We start from the raw sequence: 26,986 nt of genomic DNA, 5'->3' as shown, positions 1-26,986 counted from the left end.
AAATATCTGATGGTGACTGGAAGGCTTTATATGAGCCATTGAAATATCTCTTGGAGCTAACTGCTACCTTTTCTGAAAAGAGCTGCATTATCTTAAAAATAATCAAGTACTTTAACACTAAAATGTTTTCCCCTGGAATCCTTCAAATTTTCTTGATAAGCTCATCTCAATACAATTTTTAAAAATTCAACAATCTATCATATCAGGTTAAAATATTTTTAATTAATGGTATTTGGCACTATATACCAACTCGATTTTATATATTTTATTGAAAATATGCACAAAATAAATACATTTTCTTTTCTTTTAATCCAAGATAAACAATGTCACATGATTAAAGGTAAGCATTGAAATTCTTTCAGATAACCTGGAGGGAAATGTCCTTTTTCTCTTTGCCGAGTTTCTCTCTGGGAAATGAAGAAACAAGATTGTGAGAGTTCAGAGTTCCTTCCTCACCTGCTGCAAGTTCACACTCAGCAGGTCGCCAGATGTATTACATTTACCTTATGGATGGCAGAGATTGTCTGTGATCAACAGCATTTGTGACTCTGTCTAGTTCTTGTTTCTTCCATTTCATAGAATATACACTCTCAAGGTTCTCAAAAACCATTTAATCCAAGATACTTTCCTGGGCGAGAATTTAGGGATTGCTTGTTTCGTGAGTCTCCAAAAGTCTATAATAATACTTAAAAGCAAGGGATGAGGCAAAAGGCATCTTTGAAAATTACATTTGAAGAATGCAGTGTAAATGGAATTAGATATTCCAAGTGTTAAAAAAACATGGGACTGGCTGAGTTTAGGGGTTACTTCATTTAAATCCTCACTTTTCACTCAGACTAGTCAAAATAGCACCCATTTCAGGCTAGACTTGTTGCCAAGCTAATCTTTTTAAAAGTACAATAACATACACTTGTAAAAATTTGAAACAGTGCAGAAAGAACGAGAAATAGCCAAACCATGAGTTCCCTCACCTCTGATCCCCTAATCCCATTCCGTGGAGGTAACCACTTAAAAATTTCTGTGTATCCTCTTAGACTTTTTATTTTTTATTTTTTAAGAGATGAGGTCTCAGCACAGGCTGGAGTGCAGCTGTGCAATCATAGCTCACTGCAGCCTCAAACTCCTGGCCTCAACCGATCCTCCCACCTCAGCCTCCTGAATAGCTGGGTTTACAGGCATGTGACACTGTGCCCAGCTCTTCTTGACGTTTTAATGCATATACTGGTGTATATTTCCTTATACACACACCGAATCAGAATATACTTTCAGTTCTACAATTTGACAATACACATAGCTGATTTATAGCAAGTATGCCATGAACTGAGGGTTTTGTTTTGTTTTGTTTTTGCAGGGCTGCCAATATGCTGTCTTCACGGGACGGTAAAGAAAGTATCACTTGGGCCGCATCTAATATGAAATACTGAAGGTGGGTGTAGAGAGGGTGCTAGGGCTTTGATACAGCGCTTTCTTTCTGAGAGAGAGAAAACCATCATGCTCCCCCCGCCCCGAACTCATTTAACAAGGCTTGATGGAGTGAACAATTTCATGGCAGGCACTGAGCTAGGCTCTGGGTATCCTGAGCTCAGGAAGAGGCAGGGCCCCTGCCCTCATGAGGCTTTACAGTCTGCTCTCCATCCAACTCCTGTCCCTAGAGGATCTGCTCAATTCAAGACAACCTTTACTGAGCACCTATCATAAAGCAAGCACTATTTTAGACGCCATATAAAGATGAGTAAGGTTCCAAACCTGCCCTTAGGGAATGTTAAGTCTAACAGAGAACTAGATGAAGTTTCAGCAAGGGCTGTATGAAATGTGCATGGCGGTGTTACAGAGGCAAGAAGAGGGGTCACTTCACTTAGCTTTGGGGTGGTGGGAGGGAGGGGTTGGGAAGCTTTCCTGACTTGGGTGGAACCGGGGTGGGGTTATTCCAGACAGAGGGGCCAATGTGAGCAGGTACCTCCTTCAGGGTACAGCAGCAGTCTAGGGCTTCCAAGACATGAGGCAGGGTCAGACATGGAAGGCTTTGCATGCCTCTAAGGGGCTGGGATATATCCTAGGTCACGGGGAGATGGTTATTCAGGCAGCAGGAGGATTGAGGCGGGGGTGTAAAGAATCAGAGAGCCCACTCTTCCAGCTCTAGGAGGTGGGAACCAACCCGGCAGCCTGTGTTGCAGATGAATCCAGAGGAGAAATGATGAGAACCTTAACCAGGGCAGGCGTAGAGATGAACTTAAGACCTATCTAGCGCGTAAAATCGCCAGGGCTTGAGAACCAACTGGATGTGAAGGTTGAGAAAAAGAAAAGTGTTATGGTCTGATGTATCCCCCAAATCATGTTGAAATGGAATCCCCAGAATGATGGTGTTTGGAGATGGCATCTTTGGGAGGTAATTAGGTCATGAAGGTGGAGCCCTCATGAATGGGATTAGTGCCTTTTTAAGAGGAGGCCAGAGAGCAAGCTTACCCTCCACCCACTGTGAGAACATGAGAAGCTGGCCGCTGCATCCCAGAAGAGGGCCCTCACCAGAACTCGGCCATGATGGCACCATGATCTTGGACTTCCAGACTCCTGAACTGTAAGAAATAAACATCTGTTCTCTATAAGCTAACCAGTTTGTGGTATTTTGTTACAGGAGCAGGAGCTAAGACTGGAGGGGTCAGGGGCAACTCCCAGGTTGATGGTGTTACTGACTGGCAGAAGAAATTCAGTCTCCCTGGAAGTTGGGTTAAAATAATTGTTTTTAAAGACTTCTGCACTATCTGCAACCCTCTGTACTTGTGCTTTACCCTCAGCATATAATCCTTTTTCTGTCTGAAACACTCTCAATCCTACCTTTCCCTCCAATCTTCTTTAAATGAGTCAACAAGTCTTCCACACCTCCCATTGTCTTCAACCTAGCAAAGCCAGCTGTGTGCCAACAGTCCCCACAATCCCCTGACGCTGCTCTTGAGGGGCTCACTGTGAGAAGGGCCCTCAGCAATCCCATTCCCAGGCCTCTTTGCAGCATTGGGTTCTGCTGGCATGCTTCGAAACGCTCTTCATTGCTTTCTCGGCATTGCACTCTCCCTCCTGGCTTCCTCCAACCCACAGCTGCTCCCCTGCTGGCTCCCCCTCCTCCTCCTCCAGATTCTCTTCTCCTCATATGCTCCATAGATGATCCCATCGCACTGCAGCCTGACCTCCATCTCCACGTTCAAGTCTCTCAATTCTAACTCCAGACATTCTTTTTAAATTCCAAAGTCTAGTATCCAACTGCCTATATTCAGTCTAGTCACATCGAATCTTTCCAAAACTCATCATTTCTCCCATCCCCTGGCCTCTGTCTTAGCAAATGGTCCAGCCATCCACTCATTCCCCAAAGCCTGGTATCTGGGCACTGCTGGCAGCAGCAAGGATGCACCACTCTCCTGCCCCTCACCTTTCTAGCTGCTGTTTACCCTAAGATGTTCTTCCTTTCCTTAAAAACTGTATTTGACATATACAAACATTACCTACAAAATCACCATACCAGATTTTAGGTTATCATTCCACTTTGCCTTTATTTTTTATAATATATTTAAGTAGAACATATTTAATATGTAAAAAACTGTTATCTATTAGTTATAAAGTATAATGTATTAATAGCATATAGTAAACACTTGTAAGCCTACCAGGAGGAACCAGAACAGCTGCATAACTTGGCATCTACCTATGTGCTCCTGTCCCTTCCACTTCCTCCTTCTGTGGGTAATTACTATGCTCAATTTTGGTTTATCAGTTACCTTCTTTTTTTTTAATAGCATAGTTTTATTGTATACGTATGCTTAGACTACATATTCTTTGGTTTTGCTTGTTTTTGGGCTCAATAAAAATAGTACGCCCCATGTGGTCTCTTCAAACTTGCTTTTTTCCTTAATATTTTCTGAGATTCATTCTTATTGTGAGGTATAGCTGTAGTTCACTCATTTCCACTACTGAATAATATCCCGTAGAATGAATATATATATCTAATTATTCACCTATTTTCCTGTAGACAGACATACATTTCACTTTTTCCAGTTATTAACTATTATAAATATGTAACTATGAACATTCTTACACATTCCTCCTAGTGGCCACATGCAAGAGTTTGCTGGACATACAGGTGGGAGTTGGAAGCAAGATCATAACGTCTGCAAATGTTCAAGTCTGTAAGGGATAATTGTTTTTTAAAGCAGTGGTGCCTGTTTACACATCCACAATGTTGTACAAGTCCCTACAGATCTAACAACTGGTACTGTCAGACCCAACCTTTGCAAATCTTATGGATATAAAATGGAATCTCATTGTGGTCCTAATTCATATTTCCCTGACCAATGCTACAGAACATCTATTTATTTAAAAGCCCTATTTCCTCTTGTGTAGTCTTCACTATTTTTCTATTTTTTTAAATAGGAATTCTCTATATTTGTGATTATGAATCCTTCATCAGTTATTTGTATTATAAATGTCTTCTCAAGTTGTGGATCATCTTCTCACTTCAAGTGTTTGCTTAATATAAGCCTTGAGTTTTAACAGAATTGACTTAACCATCTTGTCCTTTATGATTACTACTTTATGTCTCAAGAGATTCTTTCCTGCCCTAAGGCTTTTTTCATCCAAACACTGACAATTTTTGCTTTTTGTATTAAAGCCCTTAACATATTTGGAACTTATCACCAGGTAAGGTGAGAGAAAGTAAAATTTCTTTTTTTCCCACATGAATAGCCATTGTTCTGGGATTACTTAGGGAGTGGTCCTTCCTGTCCCCACTGACTTGCCATGTCACCAGGTCATTTTGCAAAGGTCAACATATGCACGGGTGAGTTTCTAGGCCCTTATTTTGTTCCCCTGCTCAGAATGCCTACCTCTGCACCATGACACTGTCTTGACAATAAAACTTGGTATCACATAGGGTGCGTGTCCCCAACCTCTCCTTCATATTTAGAAGCATTTGGTAATTTTAAGTCCTTTGCTACTCCATATAAACACCTGCTTGTTTCATTCAATAAAATCTGTTGGAATTTCCATTGAAAATGGTATTAAATCCATAGATCAATTTTAGGAGACCTGATACCTTTATAATCTTGAATATTCCTATTCATGAACAAAGATGGTTCTTCATTTGTTCCTCCCTTGCTTCTTCGTCTTCATCCTTCGAATCAAACCAGGACTCCAATGTTACCTTCTCCTGACTATTGCCACCACCATCTTGAAGTAGGATGAGTGTATATTTTGCATGCAAATTTTTGAAATAACTGCAATCATCCAAGAAAAAGATGACATGGTTGAGTTTGAGGCTTGTTGCTTGAGTGGTGGCACCATTCTTCATTACTGAATATATTGAGAATTGAGGGGAATAAAATGGTAAGAAATGAGTGACTTTATGCTGCCCACTTGTCCAACTCCGCACGGGATATCAGAGCCCAGCTGAGAACCTGCTCAATCCTGGAAACAATTAAAAGATGTTAACCGGCCAGGCTCGGTGGCTCACGCCTGTAATCCCAGCATTTTGGGAGGCTGAGGTGGGCAGATCACGAGGTCGGGAGATCAAGACCATCCTGGCTAACACAGTGAAATCCTGTCTCTACTTTTTTGTATTTTGTAAAAACACAAAAAATTAGCCGGGTGTGGTGGCGGGCACCTGTAGTCCCAGCTACTCTGGAGGCTGAGGCAGGAGAATGGCATGAACCCAGGAGGCGGAGCTTGCTATGAGCCGAGATTGCGCCCCTGCACTCCAGCCTGGGCGACAGAGCCAGACTCTGTCTCAAAAAAAAAAAAACCAAAACAAAACAAAACAAAAAAAATGTTAACCACCCTTAACAGTAACTTTCTCTCCTCATTTCCTTTTTGTTTCCTCAGGGGTACGGAAATATGAAATTATGGGAGGACGAAAATGCCCAGAAAGCATGGCTGCTTGACCACACTGGGGCAAATGGCTTCAGTGTTTCTGACAAGCAAGCAGTGAGCGCATGCCTTTTGCCAAAGGGAGTTCTGCAGCCATTTAGTCCAGCCTTTAGAAAACGAGGTCTTCCGAAGAGAACAGAGCTACACCTTCCCCGTCAGAATCCACTGTTATAACCACTTAGATTAAAATGCCCCATTTCTCACAGTATCATTTTGTCACAGGGTCACACTTCTCTATTCAACTCAGTTTCAGGCTTTTCTTCTAAGAGGAAAAAAAGACGACTAAGTGGCCTCCTAGATTCCACTGTAAAAACAGAAAAAAGCAGGTTGACTTGCTTTGAAATCAAACGACCTCTGTCTTCAGTCTGTCCCCATCTCAGAGGGACCAGGGAAACCACAGGAACCCTGCTCACTGCTCTTCACGCAAGGTCCCAAAAAAACAGCGCCTGTTTTCCAGGCACTGCAGGAAGACCCTGCTCCTCTACAAGGTTCCACTAAATAGTCTTCGAAAACCAGAAGCAGGTAAGTGTCAGCCAGATGCACACAGGTTTTTTGTTGTTGTTATTTTTAAGGCACCCTAGGTTGTATTTCCTTGAGGATCATCAAGAATAAAAAAGGCAAAAAAAAAAAAAAAGTTAGTCTGTATCATATCCCAAAATGGGTCCAAGCCATTTCTCAACCTCAGCCACAGATATGTTCTTCCTCAATGCATAATCCTCAACCTGCAAAAGATGAGAAGCATTTTATTAAACCAACATGATAAGACTTTTGGAATAGAAGTTTCCACAAGATTTGCCAAGAAACATTAAGTACCTTGCATTTCTTGTCTTAATAGCAATCTACAGAGTTAAATGGAGATAGATATTTATCTACCAAGTTGCCTTTTTCTCTGGGCAGAAAAACATGTAGTAAACATCTGATGCTTAGAAGCTGTATGTGTGTGTGTGTGTGTGTGTGTGTGTGTGTGTGCGTGTGTGTGGCTTGCATGTAGAAGTGAGGGCTAGAATAGAGGTATTCTATTGAAATCAAATTAAGACATTAACTGGAGTAAATTTCTTCATCCTTTCCCCTCACTTTATTCTCATTCACATTTAAAATGAGAGAGGTTCTAGAATTTCATTTGAACTAGGCAAGCCACATATAATGCAACAGCTAGCTTACCTGATCCTTGGAAATCTTCCCCACAGCAAAATATTTGGACTTCAAATTGGAGAAGTAGAGGCCTGAGACTGCTGAAGCAGGTGCCATTGCTAATGATTCTGTTAACCTAATGCCTAGAGGGAGCAACACAGGGAAAATGCTTATGGACTCAGTGTCTAGCACAGGGCCTGCAGCTAGCAGGCACTCAATGAACTCTTGTTGAACAAGTGAACCAAAGCGAGCTCATGCCTTCTAGGTAGACACATGACACAGCATGAAAGCTGTGATCAGAGAAGTCTAGCAAATTCCTGCCAGGTGAAGAAACAAATTCGGGACATGCAGATCTCCTCTAACCCAGGGGGACAGGCCTGGGAAAGACTCTACACTCCCACCTCCAGCCATCCCAGATCAGTTACAGGTGCCCTAATTTGCTCCTAAGCCTAGACCTTCTCAGGCAGGAGCTCTACCCCTGGAGATGAGAACAACAACTGAACAGCCTCCACCGGCTCTGTGCGGCCACTGATACTAGGGACGACTGAGAGCTCCAGTGAAGAAGGAACCCACAACATTGTGAGAAAGAAGAGACAGTTTTCCTTGGGATCTGAGAGCTCAAACAGACCCTCAAGGATATCTATTCGAAGCCACTCATTCTATGAACAAGGAAACAGAGCAACATGAAGGGTGAGTGCTTTGCCAGAGGTCGCCCAGCTAGCTTATGGCAGAAACAGGACTCAAACCCAGATCTCATGACTCCTAGAGTTAGTGTTGTTCCTGCTGAAGCAGATTCAGCACAGCTCATGGTTTCTCACTTAAATCTGGATGCCTTTATCAGCTTTGATGGCATGCTTTTTATTAATTCCGCTGAAAACTGTGAGCTTAGCCTGGGCCATCTCAACTACATGAACTCTGCAGTAATGACAGAACCAGGACATTGACATGACAATGTGCAGCCACAGAACCACGAGCCAAGTCAGCTCTGGGCACAGGACGCTGAGGCCGGGTGTCTGGGCCTTTGTCTCAGAAAGGCACATGCCAGCTTGTCATTTTCAGCTTTTAGAATCAATCCACAGGCAAAACATAACAGAGAATTATGATTACAGAAGAATATAAATGTTACTAACAGTGTAAAAGTAAAGAGAAAAGAGGGCTGAAGGGAAGGCTGGGCGCTCTGCAAGACCAGCACCCAGGGACACCATCCACAAGCAATGAGACAAGAGCATGAAGCAAAGTGACATTACTGAGGGACAAAGGTCGGTCTCTAAGGGAGGGATTAAAGACATCACCATGCCTGTGACAGGAAACTGGGGCAGGAGAGGCACAGGATGGTATACATAAGCTAAACTCCCATCTGGCGTAGGCCAAGAGGAAATAATTTAAATTGATACATCTAAAAATAATGATGTAAGAATACTAATCAGTAATACTGAAGTAAAATGCAGAATAGCTACGAGTGAAAAAGGACAGCATAAGGGACAATGTGATTAGAAGCCCTTCCATTTTAAAAACATGTTTAACCCTAAGTGCCAGTATGCTGATAAGAGTATCTACTGAAGAAGGAAGACAGGAACCCGCAGCCTCCTGGCTCCTACCTGTAGACTGCTCGATGTCTGCGAGTCTCCACATGGTGAGCTTCTCGGTGTGGTCGGGCTGGCTGGGGTAGCCAGGAGCCGGGCGGATGCCCTTGTACCGCAGCCTGCGCAGGTCTGCGACGTCCAGCTGCTCACTGCCACAGTAGGCCCACAGTTCTCGGCGAACTCTTTCATGGAGCTCTTCTGCAAAGGCCTTGGGACCCAAAGCAGCAGGCATGCTTAGGCAGACGCAGGGGCTCACAGCATCAGTGCAGCCTCCACCCCCTGAATTAGAACCATGAGGACACCCTCCCTCATCTGGACCACAGCCAGGGGAAATTTGACAAGAGGAAACAGGCTGGATTCTTGATTGGTTTGTACTTTCATCAGCTGCTGCTCTGCAGCTCAATTTTGGCCTCAACCTGAGCTCTGAAGGACCATACTTAATGACCTAAAGATTTTAGACCTTAAAATTAACGATTTCCCTAAAGGTCAATCCAAAGCTCCACGGGCCAGAAAGAGCAGCTGGGACCATACAGCTGCTAGTTCCTCCACTGTTCACTGCAGGAAAAGGGAGAGGCTCTCCCCAGGGCAAAGGCTACTACCCTCATTCCATGCAGAGGAAGATGAAGAATCTATAGATGACACCAGCATTACAACGAGGGGCTCTGAAATAAAAATTTGTTTTTAATTTTTTGGGGTACTGAGGAAAATGTCACATCACAACAAGCAAAGAGAGACAACAGAGATAAGGTAGAGATAAAGGCTCTAAGAGCAACAGCCAACTGTGGCACCATTCAAGGTTTTTCTTTGCCTCAAAGATAATGTACACAAGCAATCTGGGGATACATAATATTAAAATACGTATAATGTTAAAGCCAGCAGCATCCATCTCAAGAAAAAAAAAAAAAAAGACACTGGTTCTAAGGGCTGATCAGTCTTCAGGCACCCACCCCAGGCTCCCTACTGCCTGGCCTCTGTCCTCAGCCCCTCGGCGCAATGCCTCTGCCTTACCTCTGCCAGCCGGTCCCCCAGCGCCTTGACCATGATGCTGCTGTAGTCGTCACCATCATCCTCATAGGCCTTGCTCAGCTCTTCTACCCCAAAGCAGGCAACGGCAAACAGGCCCAGGTAGTCACGGATGCCAGAATGCAAGGGAGCGATGAAGTCTGAGAGGCAGTAGTATGGCTCCGTGCTGGCAGAGTCCTTCTCAGCCTTAAAACCAAGGAGTGTAGGAGTGTGCGGGGGCGCCGTTAGCAAGAACGTGGCGCCAGCACACCATGAAGAGCAATCGGGTATCGTCAAATGAGAATAAGCTTCACAACGCACAGATGGCAGCCTGTATTGTGCACTGTTACATCCCCAGTACTTGGAATTGTGTCTGACACATAGTGAGTATCCAATAAATATTTGTAAGATAAACAAATGAAATGAGATTTTTAAAAAATGTATGACATGACGTAACATAAATTGTCAAGACACCAGTTCACTGGCTCATTCACACACTGACCAAACATTTACTGAATGCCTTCAGGCACTGTGCTAAAGTCACGGTTTAAAAAAAAAAAAAAATTTGTCCCCAAGTGTTTTCAATTAAGTCCAGCACCATGTTCAAAAGAGATCCAATAAATGGAAGCGCCTCCACTCTCCATCAACAGCAGCAGCTCAAACAACAAACTGTTGGGGTCAGCGATGCCCAGGCCATGTGCTGCCTGCCATGTGGGGTGGGGTCAAGGGTCATACAGGAGCCGGCTGAGGACACCCAGGGCTGGCTGGGCACCAAACCAAGAATTCAGCAGGATTTGCTTCTGGATTTTCTCCACAGCCCTGGGGCCTACCCTCCCCCATTTTTCACCCTCAGCTCATAAGCAACTCTTCCCTGCAACTAAGGTAACAAATAAAGTCTTATACATATTAAAAAAATCAATAAATATTTGCTGAGAAGGTAAATAGCTTATAATACTCATTCAGTGGTTACTGTATGCCTGCTCTTGGTGCTTTATATGAATTACTATTTAACCCTCTCAACCACCTTGTGACATAGGTGATACCATCAGCTCCATTTTACAGACAAGAAATCAGGGGCATAGGAAGCTTGATCAACTGGCCCAAGGTCAGACAGTGGGAGGGGCCAGGGGGCTGGTACCACAACCCATGCGTCTACATATATGGTACTGCTCAGGACTGATCAATTAATCAATGAGTGGCCAACCCACACACTTCACAGCTCGTTGCCCGCCGTGGAAGCAAGTACAGCTTCATTGACACAGGGCAGGAAATTGTTAAGTACAGGCGAGGAGGTGTTTGGTAATGGCACACAGGAATGTCACAGAGCTCAGGGACAGCTGTGCATGGGGAAGCCGTTTTCCAGGTATACTCGGCCCATCAATTATTCTTTGCTAACAAAGGCCAGAGGGGGACCCAAAGCTTCCCTGCGCCACAGGAGAGAGAGATCACAGAGCCCCATGGTACCTTCGAAGAGACAGCAATCAGAGCCTACTCAGAAGAGCAGACTCCCAGAGTAATAAGGCACTGCCACCAGAATGTTCCAGAGTGCACTGGAGGAAAGCCCCTCCTGAGAAATTGCTACCTGGGTAGGTAATGTATGTGCCTGGCCCAGTTCCCCTCTCCAGAGGCTACTAAAAAGGTGAACTCTGAGAATTCATTCTATTAAATGCCCTAATATGTCACAGACTGCCCGGACATGAATGGTACTGAAAGTAAAAAGAGATCGCAGAGGACACAGGACTTGAAAGATGAAAGACTGGGCTAGAGCAGAGGTTTTTGAACAGTTATGTCTGTAAAAGAATAGCCACAAATTCCCTAGTGAGGAGGGGCTGGAACTTAACATTAGAACCCCAGTGCCTTATATTCTGTGGCGTCCGAGCCTGGGCGCATACAGTGAGGATTTACTGAGCCTAAGTGCATATGGTAAGGATGTAGCTGTCCTTGTTTAATTCTTCATGGTACTGCTGAAGGCCCCAAATTTAAGAATCCCTTCAGATGCTGTTATGGTAAAAATATGGATGATTATGAATTATATTGTGGTTGGGATTAAAATGCGCCACTATCTTTTTTGTTTGTTTTTTAGAGACAGGGTCTCACTCTGTTGCCCAGGTTGGAATACAGTGGCATGATCATGGCTTACTGCAGCCTCGATCTCCTAGGCTCAAGTGATCCTCCCGCCTCATCCTCCCGAGTAGCTGGCTGAAGAAGTACAGGCCTGCACTCCCCAGTGCACGGCTCATTTTTAAATTTGTTTTGTAGAGACAGGGTCTTGCCATCTTGCCGGGGCTAGTCTCAAACTCCTAGGCTCAAGCAATCCTCCCACCTTGGCCTCTCAAAGTGCTGGGATTACAGGTGTGAGCCACTGTGCCCAGCCAACATTATTATTTCTGAACGACTGAAAATGGCAGTAAAACAGAGTAATTTTCTGCAAATTATTAAATTTGTTAATGACTCTGGTGAATTCTGGTTCCAATTCTTGATTAAGACACTCTTTTTTACAGCAGCTAAAGGGACATGCATATGATATTTGCCTTTTCAAAGGTGGGGGGGATGAGAGACAAGTTGCTGAGAAGAGTCTGTTCTCGTCACTCGAAAGAAAAAAAGCCAGCACAGTCAAAGAACGGCCACTGGGGATATGTACAGGCTGGGCTCTCCTCTCTATATTGGGGGGCCCAGCACAATCTCCATCATCCTTCATCTTCTCTGTAAAACACAAACTTAAACTGCCTCACACGGCTGTGTGGAAATTAAAAGCATGACCATCAAGCACCTTACTATGCACCTGGCACCTGGTATACATTCTGCAAATGTTTGTTTCCACCTGTCTTCCCCTTTCAAGGGAAGCCACCTGACAGTCTATTTTAATAATATGCATAGATATTAACCTACGTTTTTGAACAAGTGAGTGTTCTCTTTCTTCAGAAGCTAAGAAGACTGAGATCCTGACACGTGACCACCTGAGACAGCAGCAATGGTCCTCGCCCATCCATGGAACACAATATTAAACGCCTCACTCCTGCTGAGTGGTCCTGCCTCTGACACCCATGGTGGCGCCTTCTCTCCCTCGTCCTCACAGATGGCTTGGGCTTGGGCGTGTGACTGGTCACTTCTTGGGCATGTGATTGGTCATTTGGGAGGAGGTGAAGCAGACCCTCATTTATGCAAAGCTCTTTTGTGTAGTGCTTAAACTCACAAGCGAAAGCGGTGTGCTGGCTGTCAGTACACCTTCCATACCTGTTGCCTTAACCCATAGAAGGTGGCTATGGGCTCTGCAGCCTGGGGCACAGCAGCCTCTGCGTACAGGTGAATGTCGTCTTGGATACTCTGTGCTGGCCAGAACCCAACCACACCCCGGGCCCGGAGTTTCTTTTGACTAATCAGTGTGTTCAGCATATTGTGGGCATCATCGTAGACCTTCCTGGCCTCTCCACCTATTAGAAAAACAGAATTAGAATTCACTTAAAGATGCCAAAAATAACCATCAAACAATGCTTCTTTTAAAAGCCATTACCCCTCCTCAGTCACCTTCCCTCTTCAGGCTTCTCCATTTTCCTCAAATGCTTTCTGGTGTTTGCCACTGACCCAGCTTAAAGTGGAACAGCCAGGGCTTTGCGGCTCCTGCTAAGTGCAGCTCCCACAGTCTGCTTCTCCCAGTTCAAGCCACTCAAGTTTTCCACTGGACAAAAAGCAGAGAGCCAAAGCTGTGGCTCCCCAAAGCATTCTGTCAGAGAGGATGAGAAAGAGCAGGCCACATTCCTCACTGACATTCCTCGTGCACATACAACTCCACTGACTTTGCAGTGACCTCTGGGAGACGCGACCTGTGCCTCGTATTCCGTGGTGCTTTTAATCCCAACTACAATATAATTCGTAACGATTGACATTTTGACCGTAACAACCTCTGAAGGGATTCTTCAATTTGGGGCCTTCAACAGTACCATGAAGAGTTAAACAAGGACAGCTACATCCTCACCCTATGCACTCAGACTCGGTAAATCCTCACTGTATGCGTCCAGGCCCAGACACCACAGAATACAAAGCATGGTGAATATAAGGCACAGGCCCCGTCCCCCAGAGGTCGCTGTGAAGTCAGTGGAATTGTATGTGTACAGGGAACGTTAGTGGTAAGGGGTGAAGTGTGGCCCAAATCCTCACATGTGGCTTCAATGCTGCACCTGGGCTGGCCTGCTCCCGGACCTGCAGTGGGAGCCAGCCTCCGAGGACACCATCTCGGTTTCCGTGAGACTCGGCCACCCTGCCCATGGTGAGAAGCCTGTCCCACGGCCCCTGGACAGCTCACCTGTGATGATTCAGGGGCAGCACACTAAGAAGCCCCTTGCTCATCACCACGTTCCTGACTACCTGAGAGTTCCTGAGTCTCAGCATCCGAACACGCACACCCAGGCACGCCCCCCCGTGGGAAACTTGGCAAAAGGCTGGTTTCTAGGCTCCTCTCAGCCCTAATCCCATGCTTCTGTGAGTCTACCCCTCCCTGCTGCTCTGATCTGGCTACTACCTGATCCTTTGAATGGCTTTGCATTTGGATTCCGTGTCTCTGTCGGTGGATTCTGGGGTAAGGCTAGAAGTGAGAAGTGGGGGTAGTAATTTAACACCTCACTTACTTCTCTAGTTTATCACCCTAAATCCCCATTCCCTCCCCAATGCTCCAAGCACAATGGGCTCCTTGCAGTTCCCCAAATAGGCACATGTGCCTGTGCCTTCTCACACTGTCTCCTCTACCTGGAATGACCTTTTCTTCAACACCATATCACATCCACAGTCCCAGCCACGGCAACTCCCACTGAATCGTCAAAAACAGTTCGAACACCACCTTGTCCAGGAAGCCTGCCCTGACCTCCCAGTCTGAGCTCTATCTCCTCTTATGTCCACAGGAGCCCAGGCAGGGCCCATTACTATTGGATGTGCCAGCTAGTCAGGTGCTAGACAGCAGGGATTATATTGTCTTCCATTTATCCCTAGTGCTCAGCATGTAACTGATGTCAATAAACATTTATTGAAAGAATAAAGTAAATACCAAATTTAGTTGATGCAATAAGGACCAATCTAGCAGATTGAAAACCATTAAAAAGTTGGGCAGGTGAGCAATATGAAAGCAGCCGTAATCTGCACAATCCAAATCCACTGCTCCTCACCGATTCCGGTCTTCAAAGTCACAATCCCACAGCTTGAATATCAGAGGCAGAAAGGAAGGACTTACTGCACTAACCTACTGTTTTGTCGTTAAATATCTTGGGAAAGCCTCGATTCGGGTACTTGCCCCGGAGCTGCCAGACATCAAAGAAAGGCTTCCAGTCAATGTAGTCCACCAGCTTCTGCAGGTCATAGTCTTCAAAGACCTGGGTCCCAATAAACGTGGGCTTCACTACAGGAGAGAAGTATGGTTGTCAATGCTGACGCTGGCACCCTGCCTGATGGAGGCCTCCCTGCCAGCTCCTCACTGCTCTGCCAACTCCCACACTCCGCCTCCCTCCTGTCACCCGTAGGAGTTGTTTTACAAAGAGGGGAACTTTAAATTATCGTGGAGAAGGAGTAATTCTGCACTGAGTCTTAAATAAAACTATTCTTCACATGCAGCTGACTACACCACCCTTGGAAACTGTTCCCTCAACCCTTCCATCCCCACCCCCTGCCCAAGAAGGAAAGACAGACGGGTTAATCCTCACTTGCACAAATGAAGACAAGGTGAACATGAAGAACATGAAAGAACATGAAGAACATGTCCAGAAAGACATGGAGAGTAAGCTACTTATCTAAAGTTTCAAAACCGGAAACAATCATCTAGATTGTCTACTGACACATATGCTCAAAGTATAGGCAAATGAAGTCCCAAATTCAGGACTGCTGTGCTTTCTGCAGGGGAGGAAGGGACACATGTGGGACTTCCGATACATACTCCTCAATACATAATCCTCCACTCTGCCAAGCATGTGTGCAGCACAGATGTATGAGCAAGGAAAAGCTGATTTATTACCTTAGAAATATGGATTCAATTAATATAACCTCTGTTCACTCTGCATTGTTTCGTTTTTTAAAAATCAGATGGTAGGTTATGTCTTAAGCTGGCTAGTGGGTATACGTGGATGTTTAATATATTGTTCTTTATACCTCCTGGTGAGTCTAAAATACATCATAATTTAAATAATGGTGAAGACTTCAGAGACAGATGGTGCTGCTGGGCTTTCTGGGGCAGGTAGAGCAGCACTGCCATCTGCCCTCCAGACTGTAGTGTGGTCTGCACCTCAGACTCTGGTCTGACATGGCAGGATTAGGCTGGAGTCTAAGGTGTTGGCTCCATTGCCGTATCCGAGCCTTCCTGTCTCTCTACTTCCTGATTTGTAACCAGGGATCAGGGAACTTCCTATTCTACCAATCTCAGGGGCTCTGGGAGAACACAGAAGCTTCTAGAGTATTTTTCTCTCATTTGACTTCTTACTCCTGCCTGGAAATCTCTACCTTTTCATACTTGTTCACGGTAGCCCTTTCCCATTTGTTCCTCATCATCCTTCTACTACACGGGACAATCCCTTCTTTGGAAATATCCTATTATGTTGGTTTGTTGGTAACAAAGCCTTTATAGTCCCCTTAGTAGAGAAACTAAAAGGAATCTACAGATAGACCCTTGATTCAAGCGTCCTCCCGCCTGGGAAGGCAGAGAGAACATGCTGCTGCAGAGCCACTGATGGACTCTCTCGTCTCCCAGAATTTAAGAAATGTTTGAGGTGTTACCATCAGGGCCGTAAAAGAAAACCCTCTTTTATTCCCTACCGACTTCCTGCAACTACCCTAGGACTGGCTGTCCTCAAGACATATTTCAGAGGGCCAGCCCTCAGTGGCCCATGGCCCTGGGGCAGCAGGGCGGACCCTGCAGTAGCCCATGCCAGAGGTTAAAGCGGCCACTAAAAAAGCATCCCAACCGCTGCCAGGTGCTGTGGGCCTTTGGAGGGTATTTCCAGCAAAATACGTTTTGGATGTTTGAATTAATCCAAACAGACTTGCCCTTGTGTTATTATTCCAATTTCACAGGGAAAGATACAGAGCAAATAATCGGAGCTTGAACTATACAGCAATTTATATTTTTTCAAAGGTTTTCACAGAATATTTTACCCTCACAACATTTCCAAAAAGTAACTCCTTTTTTTACGTGGTAAAAACTGTCAAACGTGGAAGCAAGCTGCTCAAGGTCACTCCGTGAGTCAGAGTCAGGAGCCACGTTGGGATGAGAACCCCGAGCTCCAGGCTCCCAATATGGCATTCTTTCCACCAAACCACGCTGAACTCAGCAAGGATGAAATTAGAACCAAGCACACCTACATTTCCAATTTAATCCGCTCAACTCTGCCAAGCATGTGTAGAACACAGATGTCGTGAGCAATGAAAGCTGATTTGATACATTACCTTGGAAATATGGATTCAATTAATATAACCCCTGTTCACTCTATCTTGGTTTTGCATTTGTGTCTCACGCCTCTCTGCGCCTGTCAAAACATCTTACACGTTTTATTCCCTTGTGAACACCTATATGAGGCAAGAAAGGTGGCTAGAAATTTAAAAAAAGGAAGAAACCAAATAAAAGAAATAAAAAGAGAGGGAAACATCCAGAGAGAGGACAGAGAGAAAGCAAGAAATAGAGGATCCTGCTTTGCTGCAGTGTTTTAAAGATGTGTGAATGCAAAGGCGTTTCCCATTTTAGACATTTCACATCTGCCCCTGGGCCTGCGAAAGACCCAGGCCACCTCAGGTGACAGTACCACCCAGGCAGGTTTCCACAGAACTTCCTTCAAGGAGACGGGGACCCACGCAAGCACAGCACAGAGGAAAGAGCATGGCTTTAGAAGACAGACCAGAGAGAGATTCCTAGTAACCTTTCAAGTTTCCACCCAAAACTCAGTTTCTTCAAATTAAAATGCAGATAATTCCCATGTCCATTATGGAGTTGTCTGAAGGACTCAGAGAGCTGCTATGAGTCCATCTCAGGATGGTATCTGGCACACAACACCTGCTCCATAAATGGTACCTATTCCCTTTCTTTCCAGTCATCAGTCACTCATCAGCATTAGACACAGTTGAGAGTCGTTAGCTGCTGGTTTGATTTTGCAGCCAAGTAAATGCATGTATTTCCTCAGCACACTGTCAGTTACCACACCCAGTCTTTCTCTAGTCCATAGCCAAACAGACCTGGGTGAGGTTCAGACAGCCAATCCATTTGGAAACCACTTTTTCTGGCTTGACTTAAGGGTAAGTATCTCCTCTCCTGTTAAAAAACAAAGAAAAATTAGTTAGACACTCTTAGCTTTTCTACAACTACTGTGAAAACATGTCCAAGAAGGCCAGTATGTAAGCTTTGCAAGAAAGCAAATGCTCTTATTCATGAGAATGTTTATTCTAAAAAGCTCTTCCTTTTCTACCCAGTCGGTTTCACATTGGCACCAGAACAATAGATAGTAAAGACTTAATAAGCATCCATTAACTGCTGATATATAAATACGAGCCTAGTTCTGCGGCCTGAACCTGAGGTACTAGGGGTGTCTGACCTGTACTTTTAGAACACCTGAGGTCAGCTGTTAACTGGTCTTCCATGGCCCACCCTGAGGACCAGAAGGTAGAATTAAAGAAACTGTCCACTGTGGGCGAACCTAAGGAGAGAGAAAAAAGCCAACCACTGCGTCTTGGCCTACCTACCACCTCAGAAGCAAAACAGCGTGTTTTCCTCATGCTGTTGATCTCATTTCACTTGCCTAGCAACTCCCAAAATGCTCCCACCAAAGCCCAGAAGGCAGATAACCGGAAAGAAATATTTCAGTGACTTCCAAAGCCTAATTATGCCTGTTCTCCATGGATTCCCTGAAGCTGATCAAGAGACGGACAGTTCTTAAAACATCATTCTGCACAGTCAGTGTTGGGCAGTCAGGCAAAAGGCTTATACTGGTCCTGCCTCATGTCTCCATTTTCTTCCATTAGCTCCTGAAGAATGGGGGTCTGTGGGAGTCATTTCAGTACACTGTTTCAGCACCTGTTTCCCTGCTGAGTATGAACTCATGTTTTATTCATTACCATAGTTCTGATATCTAGCACAGCCCCTAACACCTACTGGGTACCCAGTAAATGTTTGGCTGAATAAATAAAATTCATTTCAATACAACCAAAAATTATTTGGGAACTTAAGACACTGAAGACCTCTGATTTGAACTAGAAGACAGAAATTCTCTAAAATGATCCAAAGCCTTTTACACTCCTCAAAACCATTTTAAAAAGTCACATTAAAAACTAGGATCATAAAAAACAGTCACATTAAAAACAAGCAAAAATCTGTTTCTACCACTTACCTTGAGAGACTCATAATGGTCCTGTCTAATATCTTCATATTCTTCCATGATTTCCTCAAAGTATTCATCCTTTAGATTTTCATCTAACAGCTGGGAACACTGAAAATGCAAGATAGCCATAGATGAGCAAAAGATGATAAAACTGGTGTAGTAATGGTCAATGCTGATAACACCTCCTTCAGGAAGGCTTCCTTAACTTCATTTCTTCTCCCTTCACCAACTGTGCTAATTCCTGCCTGGCGTGCAGGAAAAGGTAAACTCAGTGGGCTTGGGATGTTCAAACCCTGCACAAGCCAAAGAAGGGACTGGCCTTTGACTGGTTTCTGGGAGACAAACTCTAAACCCTTGGGACAGCCTGCCTGATAAGAGAGTCACTGTATACCTGGCACCCTGGGCCACGTCACATCGTTTATGCTAACAGTCTGATTTATGGTGGGGGACCTTCGCTCATGCTTATGTTTGACCTCTGCAGGGACTGAAGACTGAACAATTAAGGCTAGACACATGGGCATTCTGGGCCTATGTGACCAACCCCCAATAAAAACCCAGGACGTGAAGGCTCAGGTAAGCTTCTGGGTTGGCAAGGCTCCTTACATGTTGTCACATATCATCAGCGGAAGAAATAAGCACCATCCAGATTACTCTATGGGGGAGATGACTCCTGAAAGCCTGTACCTGGTCTCTCCTGCATTCCATCCTATGTGCCTTTTGCCTTTCCTGATTTTAACCTATATCCTTTCACAACAATAAACCATGGTCATAACAGTGTTTCTGGGTTCTCTGTGTCCTTCTAGTGAAACTTTGAACCTGAAGGTGGTCTTGGGAACCCTCTGGGTTAAGAAACTCCCAACTCAAGGTTTCAAAGATATTCTATTCATCTACTACTGCACTTTCCAAAGCCTTTTAGTTCCAATTTATATATCCACTTCCCTTACTAGAAAGCCCTATGAGAGCTGCAATCACACATTCACTACCTTCATGCCCCTGGTGCCTAGCCCAGTGTCTGGAGGTGCATTCTCACTAAATGTTTGCTGAGGGAATGAGGCTAATCTTCATAGTCCACTGACTTTCTGCTAAAATTGGAAAGGAAACCAATAATCTGAGAAAATGTGAAGTCTACTCATTAAATTGTAAAAGTAGGATCAGCTAAATATTATTTGTTATTATGATTATCAAGTTGATAGAAGAATAGCTACCATCAAAACACAAAATAAAATTACATAGAAAGAAGAAACGGCAGCTACTGATCACATCAGTTAAAAAATAAACATAGCACTGCCCCATCCCTGCATTCTCCAGCAGGATTATCTAATACACAAAAAGGCAAGAAAGTTCAACATCTTCATCTGAACTTAAGGAAGTCAGACTGAATGACGGCTAAAGTGCCTACCAGCTTTAAAATTCTATAACTCTATGTGGGTTTTCTAAGTATCTCTAATAACAATCCAATCACCTATGAGTTAGTATAAAACAAAATCACCTCATTCAGGAATACAATCAGAAAAGGCCATCGTGGCAGGCCAAAAATAGGTTCCTAAATAGTGTTCACACCACAAAGTATTCCCCAGCCTTACATTAAACTCACCTCAATGGAGTCCTCGTTTAGGAAACCCAGCACAGCCCAATGAAACAAGAAGGGAATGCCTACTCTGAACTCCCTGAAGTGTATGTAACCAATGTTTTAAAGCCCTCTTGCATTTTGCTAGATTATACACTCTGAGAAAGCAAAACCAGATGTCCTTGACATCCAGAGAATCTACGACCCCCTGATGCTGGTGCTATTGTGTAGACAGAACATACCGCTGCAGTTTGCTGGCACCTTGCACAGCCCCATGAAGCCCGCTGCTCCCAGAGCCACAGTGGCAGGCCCCTTCTGGCCCAGTCTGACTTACTTGACGGAAACAAGTTCATGGTCAATATGTGCGCTAACCTACATGATCCTTCCACCAAAAAATCAAATCCATCATGTGTTTTCATGCCAACCACTGGGACATATCACAGTTTATATTTTCCTTCATTTTTAAAAATAACATTTCATGGCAACAGCCACACAATAAGAGGGAGTAAACTGAAAAGATATTTTATAATTTAAAAAGAATAAAATATTGGCACCTCGTTTTTTATTAAAGAAGAAAAAAGAAAGCAAGGGTCTAAATCTCCAACCATTAAGTATTTGCTACATCTTTTTGGAATCTTCCAAATATATGAGATAGCTGCTAAAATGTGATCCTGTTCCATGTTCATTTCAGTTAGATCAAAAGAGCCTGAGCCAATGAGCCCACAACCAACTGAAACAAATTATACCACTGGCTCCTGAAGTGTCACCAGCAGTTACCCACATGATTTATCATCTGACTTATGTTTTAGCAATTTCAAAATGTGGTCGTTTCTTTGTACACGGGAGGAGCTAACCACTGCTGGCTGCGTGGCTGGACCAAACTGGAAAGAGCACAAACACCCACTCCTCATTCCCTGCCTGGCTTTCAGCAAGGCCCCCACTGCTCTAGCTCTTCAAGATGGTGAAGGAGGCCGGGCACAGTGGCTCACGCCTGTAATCCCAGCACTTTGGGAAGCCGAGGCGGGTGGATCACTTGAGGTCAGGAGTTCAAGACCAGCCTGGCCAACATGGTGAAACCCCATCTCTACTAAAAATACAAAAAAATTAGCCGGAAGTGGTGGTGCACACCTGTAATCCCAGCTACTTGTGAGGCTGAGGCAGGAGAATTGCTTGAATCTGGGAGGCGTAGGTTGCAGTAAGCCGAGATCGAGCCACTGCACCTCAGCCTGGGCAACAGGGCAACAATCCGTCTCAAAAAAAAAAAAAAAAATGGTGAAGGGGTTTGTCCTCCAAACATGGAATCAAAGGGCTGATTCTTTCCCCTGCCTATAGAGGAAAGGTTGGCACTGTGCAACTAAATGGATCCAAAAGTCTTGCCTCTGAAAGGAAACTATTCAGGGCTATACATCAGTGTTTGAAAATAATGACAAGTGTTAAAAAGAGGCCCACAGCACTCAGCCATGGACCTGACATAAGCTCCTATGGAGCACAATCCAAGAATAAGAAACAAAAATTGTTTTAAAATTGAGTTGTAGAAATATAGCTTATTTGCATATTTGTCTACATCAATGGCAAATAAAAAATTGCAATTTTATGATCCCAGACTGAGTTAATTTTATCCTTTTTAATGAAGGAGAATTGTTAAATATTAATGGGAAACAAGTTTAATTTAACACAGAGTAAGATAACCTGCATTCAAATCCCACACCTGCCACTTTGACAGACGTGTGGTCTCAGCAGAGTTCCTAATCTCTTTATTCTTCTGTCTCCTGATCTCTAAAATGGGGACCAAAAAATACCTATATCATGAGGTTAGCCTGAGGATTAAATAAAATCCATGTAAAGCACTTAGCTCAGTACCTGGCACACTACACATTTTCAATAATGTTAGTGATGATTATATAACTTTCATGTAAATAAATTCGCAGATCTGAAATAATTTCCTTGGAAGGTAGCTCAGGAAATGCGGTCACCCTAGTCCAGGTCGCATGGCATCACTGGAAGTCTCGCAGATCACCAGGCCACCTCCGTAACCTTCCTCGCCTGCACAATGTGAAGGCTGGGCTAAATCTGTGGTTCTCAAACTGTGCTCTTTTGATGGACACTAGGAGCGGGATGGGACGGTAAGTGACGTCTTACCTGGAAATTCTGCCACACTAAATTTCCAGGTAAGACGTCACTTAACAGACAAAGATTCTGTGGCTGAAATCAATTTGGAAACCCCTGGACCACACTGCCTCTCGGGTGCACCCCAGCTGTTATATCCCATTATTCAGTGAAAACAATGAAACCTATAACAAGATAGAATGTTAGGCTTCACTGAAAGAGAAAAGCAGGACGTGGGTGAATTGTTTATGATGTTCACAGAGAAGCAGAAACCACTGTTCTGGGTTTTAAATATCTAGCAGATGTTTTTCTGTCTTTGGGTAGGGTCAACTAGGACACTTTTGAGTTTGTTTTTCTATCTGGAAAAAGGTCATTTAAAAATCCAACATTCCTTTTAGACAGTCAAGCAAACATCTATTCATGTTTGTGAGTGGGTGAAATCTTTGTCTGGTTGGTGTCCAGGTCAAAGATGTCTTGGTGCCAGGCCATCTACCTGTCTGCTGCTCAGTTCTGTAATTGTCTTTGAAAGTATAGGACATGGTCACCTGGACCTCCTTCCAGCAAGGCAGTCACTGCAGAGGCACACCATGAGCCTCAGGCTGCTCTTTGACCTTTATTTAGTAGAACTGAATAAAAATGAATAGATCTTAAGTTAAACCCTTACTTGTAATGCAAGCTTTCCAACACATCTGGAATAAAATGTAAGGTCACCCACTTACCACCACCACACTCTTGGACGCGTCCAGGACATGGATTACAGGTGCACTGTATCTCGGAGCTATTTTAACTGCTGTGTGGGTTCTAAAAAGAAGGGTCAGAAAGAAAATATATCCATCAGCACTGACAGTTCCTATACAACTCTTGTTCAGCGCCATTAGAGATAATGTATTTCTACAGTGCTTTCCAGAGAAACATTTCAAGGTGCTTACCTACAAATACTGAACTTCAAATTTCCCTCGTAAAACATGAATGACTTTTTCCCTACCCTAAGATGGGAAACCTAGCCCAGGCTCTGCAGAAGAGAAAGACCTTGTCCTCAGCTCCGTTAACAAGGGACTGAGCCCGTGCATGACCTGGTGCTCATTCGCAGCCCACGTGACTTAAGGGAGGTAACCAGGCCCAGGAAATCACACTGCTGTCATCAAGGTCAGGTTGAGTTCCCTCCTCCAAATGAGCTGGGACAGCAGCCAGGGCCCCTAAGGAACCGGGAACCAGGCAGAGGACACAGGATATGGCTGTCTAGCAGCTGCTCCCCTATTCATGGGAGACATCAACACTCCTCAGCCCCAACCCCACCTTGTACTTGCAGTATGGAACCCCAAACCTGAAATTCAACATAAAATAATACAGAGAGGCAAAAGCAAGAAAAATATTTTTATTTTATTTCATTTTATTTTTTTGAGACGGAGCTCTGTCACCCAGGCTGGAGTGCAGTGGTGCAATCTCGGCTCACCGCAAGCTCCGCCTCCCACGTTCACACCATTCTCCTGCCTCAGCCTCCCAAGTAGCTGGGACTACAGGCACCCGCCACCATGCCCAGCTAATTTTTTTCTATTTTTTTTTTTTAGTAGAGATGGGGTTTCACTGTGTTAGCCAGGATGGTCTCGATCTCCTGACCTAGTGATCCACCTGCCTCGGCTTCCCAAAGTGCTGGGATTACAGGCATGAGCCACTGTGCCTGGCCAATATTTTACTTTTAATATTTAGGATTGGTTCAGCCCCACATCCCTATTACCAAACTTGAAAATGTTGGTATTAGGAAGAAAGGCCCTTTCATTCTTAAAATTGCCTAATTAACAGAAGTGCAAAACAAACTGCCCTGTGATGACTGCATGTTTACAGCAATAGGATAGGCTACAAATCTGCTATTTCATGATAGAACATAATGAATTAAAGTGAAAACTGAAAACATGTACAGCCTCCCTTACAGTGGTTAATCCAGAACCCCTGGAGAGGGAGGAGAATTGTGTTCTGGCCACATCCCACCTTTAGAAGGGTGGCCAGCAGCAGTCCCCATGAGATGGGCAGTGCTTTCTGCCTTTTATCCTCTCTCCTCCTCCCCAGAAGTAGCAGTACTCTTCCTCAAGTGCTTTCATATTCTTCCCCCTCGACAAAAACATATGTTTGGAATATTATCCAGAATATGCTATTATATGAGAAAGAAACAAAGTAGCAGAACACTATATTTAATGCAATTGTATTTTTAAGAAACACCACCCTCAAGCTTTTCCAAACAACCAACCAATCCTGTATCTAAGTTTCTATATATTTAGAAAAAACACAGGAAGATACACATCGAAGTGTCCACACTGGTTATGGGGGTTAGAGGTGAGGCTGAAGGTTGGAAGAGAGAGATTCAATTGTACTTTACATTCCTCTGAATTGTTTGACATGGTCTAGTAAATGTGGATCATTGAGGTAATTTTTAAAAACCAAGAGACTGTTATAGGTGTAATATATGCATGAGTGTGTTTTTAACAGGCTTCTCAAGGAAGGCTCTAAAAACTCATAAGACAGACAAGACCAGTAACACTTCACCTGTTCCATCTTCCTAACAGTATGTCCACTTGTAAACGGAAGCAAAGGACTACAAAGCCTTAGGCTATGAGAACTGAGCTGGAAGATGGGCATTCAGGCATAAGCCAGTGAGTCAAGAGCCATCTTTTGGAATGGGAAGGCTGGGGTACAGAGTGGTAGGGAGGCCAGACCATGGCCCTGGGGCAGATTAATGAACTCCATGGCCTCCTGAGACCCTCCTGTTTTATGCCCAGTGTGTGCTCAGGGACCAAAGACCCCAAATCTATTGAACTCTTTCAATCTCTCCAAATATCGATTCATCCACTAGACTAAGCTTGTCCAACATGCAGCTCAGGACAGCTTTGAATGTGGCCCAATACAAATTCATAAACTTTCTTAAAACATTATGAGATTTTTTTTGTTTCAGTTCATTAGCTATTGTTAGTGTTAGTGTATTTTATGTGTGGCCTGAAACAATTCTTCCAATGTGGCCCGGGGAAACCAAAAGACTGGACACTCCTGCACTAGACAGCCTTAACCTTCATTTCGAGTATCTTGGGGGTACAGTTCCAGTTCTACTCACGCTACTGCAAGTCACTGATGTCTGGAAAAGCCATAGGGTTATCTCCCCTCAGCGATGTTTTCATGAAAACGTGGAAGTCCTGAGCTAATGAGCTACTGCTAAGTCCTCCACTGGTTTGTGGGAAATCATAAGGGCTCTCAGATGGGCTTCTGAGACACTTCAACTCCTGAATGCTTTCTATTTCTAGCAAAGGTGGCTCTCCTAGGAGATGACTTACTTATTTGGATGCAAAAGGCATTAACCATATATGAAGAGACTGATAAATCGGACTTTATAAAAATTAAGACTTTTGTTATCCAAAGACAGCACTAAGATAGCAAAAGGCAAGCCAGATTGAAAAAAAATCTATTTGCAATATATGTATTTCTGATAAAGGACTTGTAACTACTATAAACTAAAGAATGTGTACAAACCAATAAGAATAAAGCAGAATACCCAATTTTTAAAAATATTTAAAAAGCATATCCAAATGGTCAATATATAAATGAAAAGGTGTTCAACATCATTACTCAGCAGAGAAATGCAAACGAAAACCATAGCAAGGTATTACTACACCCATGACAAGGGATACCATTGAAAAGAACGTGGAATAACTGGAACTTTCACAATTGCTTGTGGGAGTGTAAATTGCTACAATTTGGAAAACTATGTGGCAATAGCTAATGAAGATGATCATAGGCATATCCTATGATCTGGCAATTCTGCTTCTAGGCAAAAATACACATACATGTGCACCAAAATTCATAAGCATAAGTGTTCATAGCAGCATTGTTTGTGATAGCCCCAAAGTGGAAAACCTCAAATGTCCACCAACAGTAGCAAGAGTAAATAAGTCACAGCACATTATACAATGGAATACTACATTGAAAAAAAACCAACAAAAAACCAAACAACTATCGTAACAAGGCTGATGTGGGGCAAAAGAAGCCGGACACAGGAGAGCACATACAATATGACTCCACTTATATAAAGTTGAAATGCAAGCAAAACCAACGTATGGTGACAAGAAAGAACAGTGGTTACTTTTGTTGGAAAGGATGACTGGGTGGAGGAACCTGCTGAGGTTCCTAGGGTGCCATTAGTGTTCTATTTCTTGATCTGGAGGTGGTTACATGGGTGGGTTCCCTTTTGTAAAAACTTGTCAAGTTGTACATCTATATGATTTGTGTACTTTTCTGTATAACTGCTAAACTTCTGTAAAAGCACTTACTTAAATAAGAGAGCTTGCTAAAGCAAGACCTCAGATCGCAGACCTCAT

General features: G+C 43.9%; 1 protein-coding gene across 13 annotated transcripts in view; it reads right to left on the bottom strand.

Annotated features, from left to right (window-relative positions):
* MTR (5-methyltetrahydrofolate-homocysteine methyltransferase) overlaps positions 203-26,986 on the bottom strand; it is a 108,701-nt gene continuing 81,917 nt past the window's right edge. For all 13 annotated transcript variants that reach the window (NM_001291939.1, XM_047421186.1, XM_005273141.6 and 10 more), the window contains 9 exons: positions 23,348-23,429; positions 18,965-19,063; positions 17,817-17,892; positions 14,848-15,003; positions 12,855-13,051; positions 9,627-9,827; positions 8,634-8,826; positions 7,066-7,178; positions 203-6,626 (listed from right to left, as the gene is read on the bottom strand). In NM_001291939.1, the coding sequence (NP_001278868.1) occupies positions 6,540-6,626; positions 7,066-7,178; positions 8,634-8,826; positions 9,627-9,827; positions 12,855-13,051; positions 14,848-15,003; positions 17,817-17,892; positions 18,965-19,063; positions 23,348-23,429 (1,204 nt within the window). In that variant the 3' untranslated portion in view covers positions 203-6,539. The remainder of the gene's footprint in view (positions 6,627-7,065; positions 7,179-8,633; positions 8,827-9,626; positions 9,828-12,854; positions 13,052-14,847; positions 15,004-17,816; positions 17,893-18,964; positions 19,064-23,347; positions 23,430-26,986) is intronic.

This window comes from Homo sapiens, chromosome 1 (genome assembly GCF_000001405.40).
Source record: "Homo sapiens chromosome 1, GRCh38.p14 Primary Assembly".
Lineage (NCBI taxonomy): Eukaryota > Metazoa > Chordata > Mammalia > Primates > Hominidae > Homo > Homo sapiens.
The sequence above is the reverse complement of the archived record's forward strand: the minus strand, read 5'-3'. Positions and strand labels throughout refer to the sequence as shown.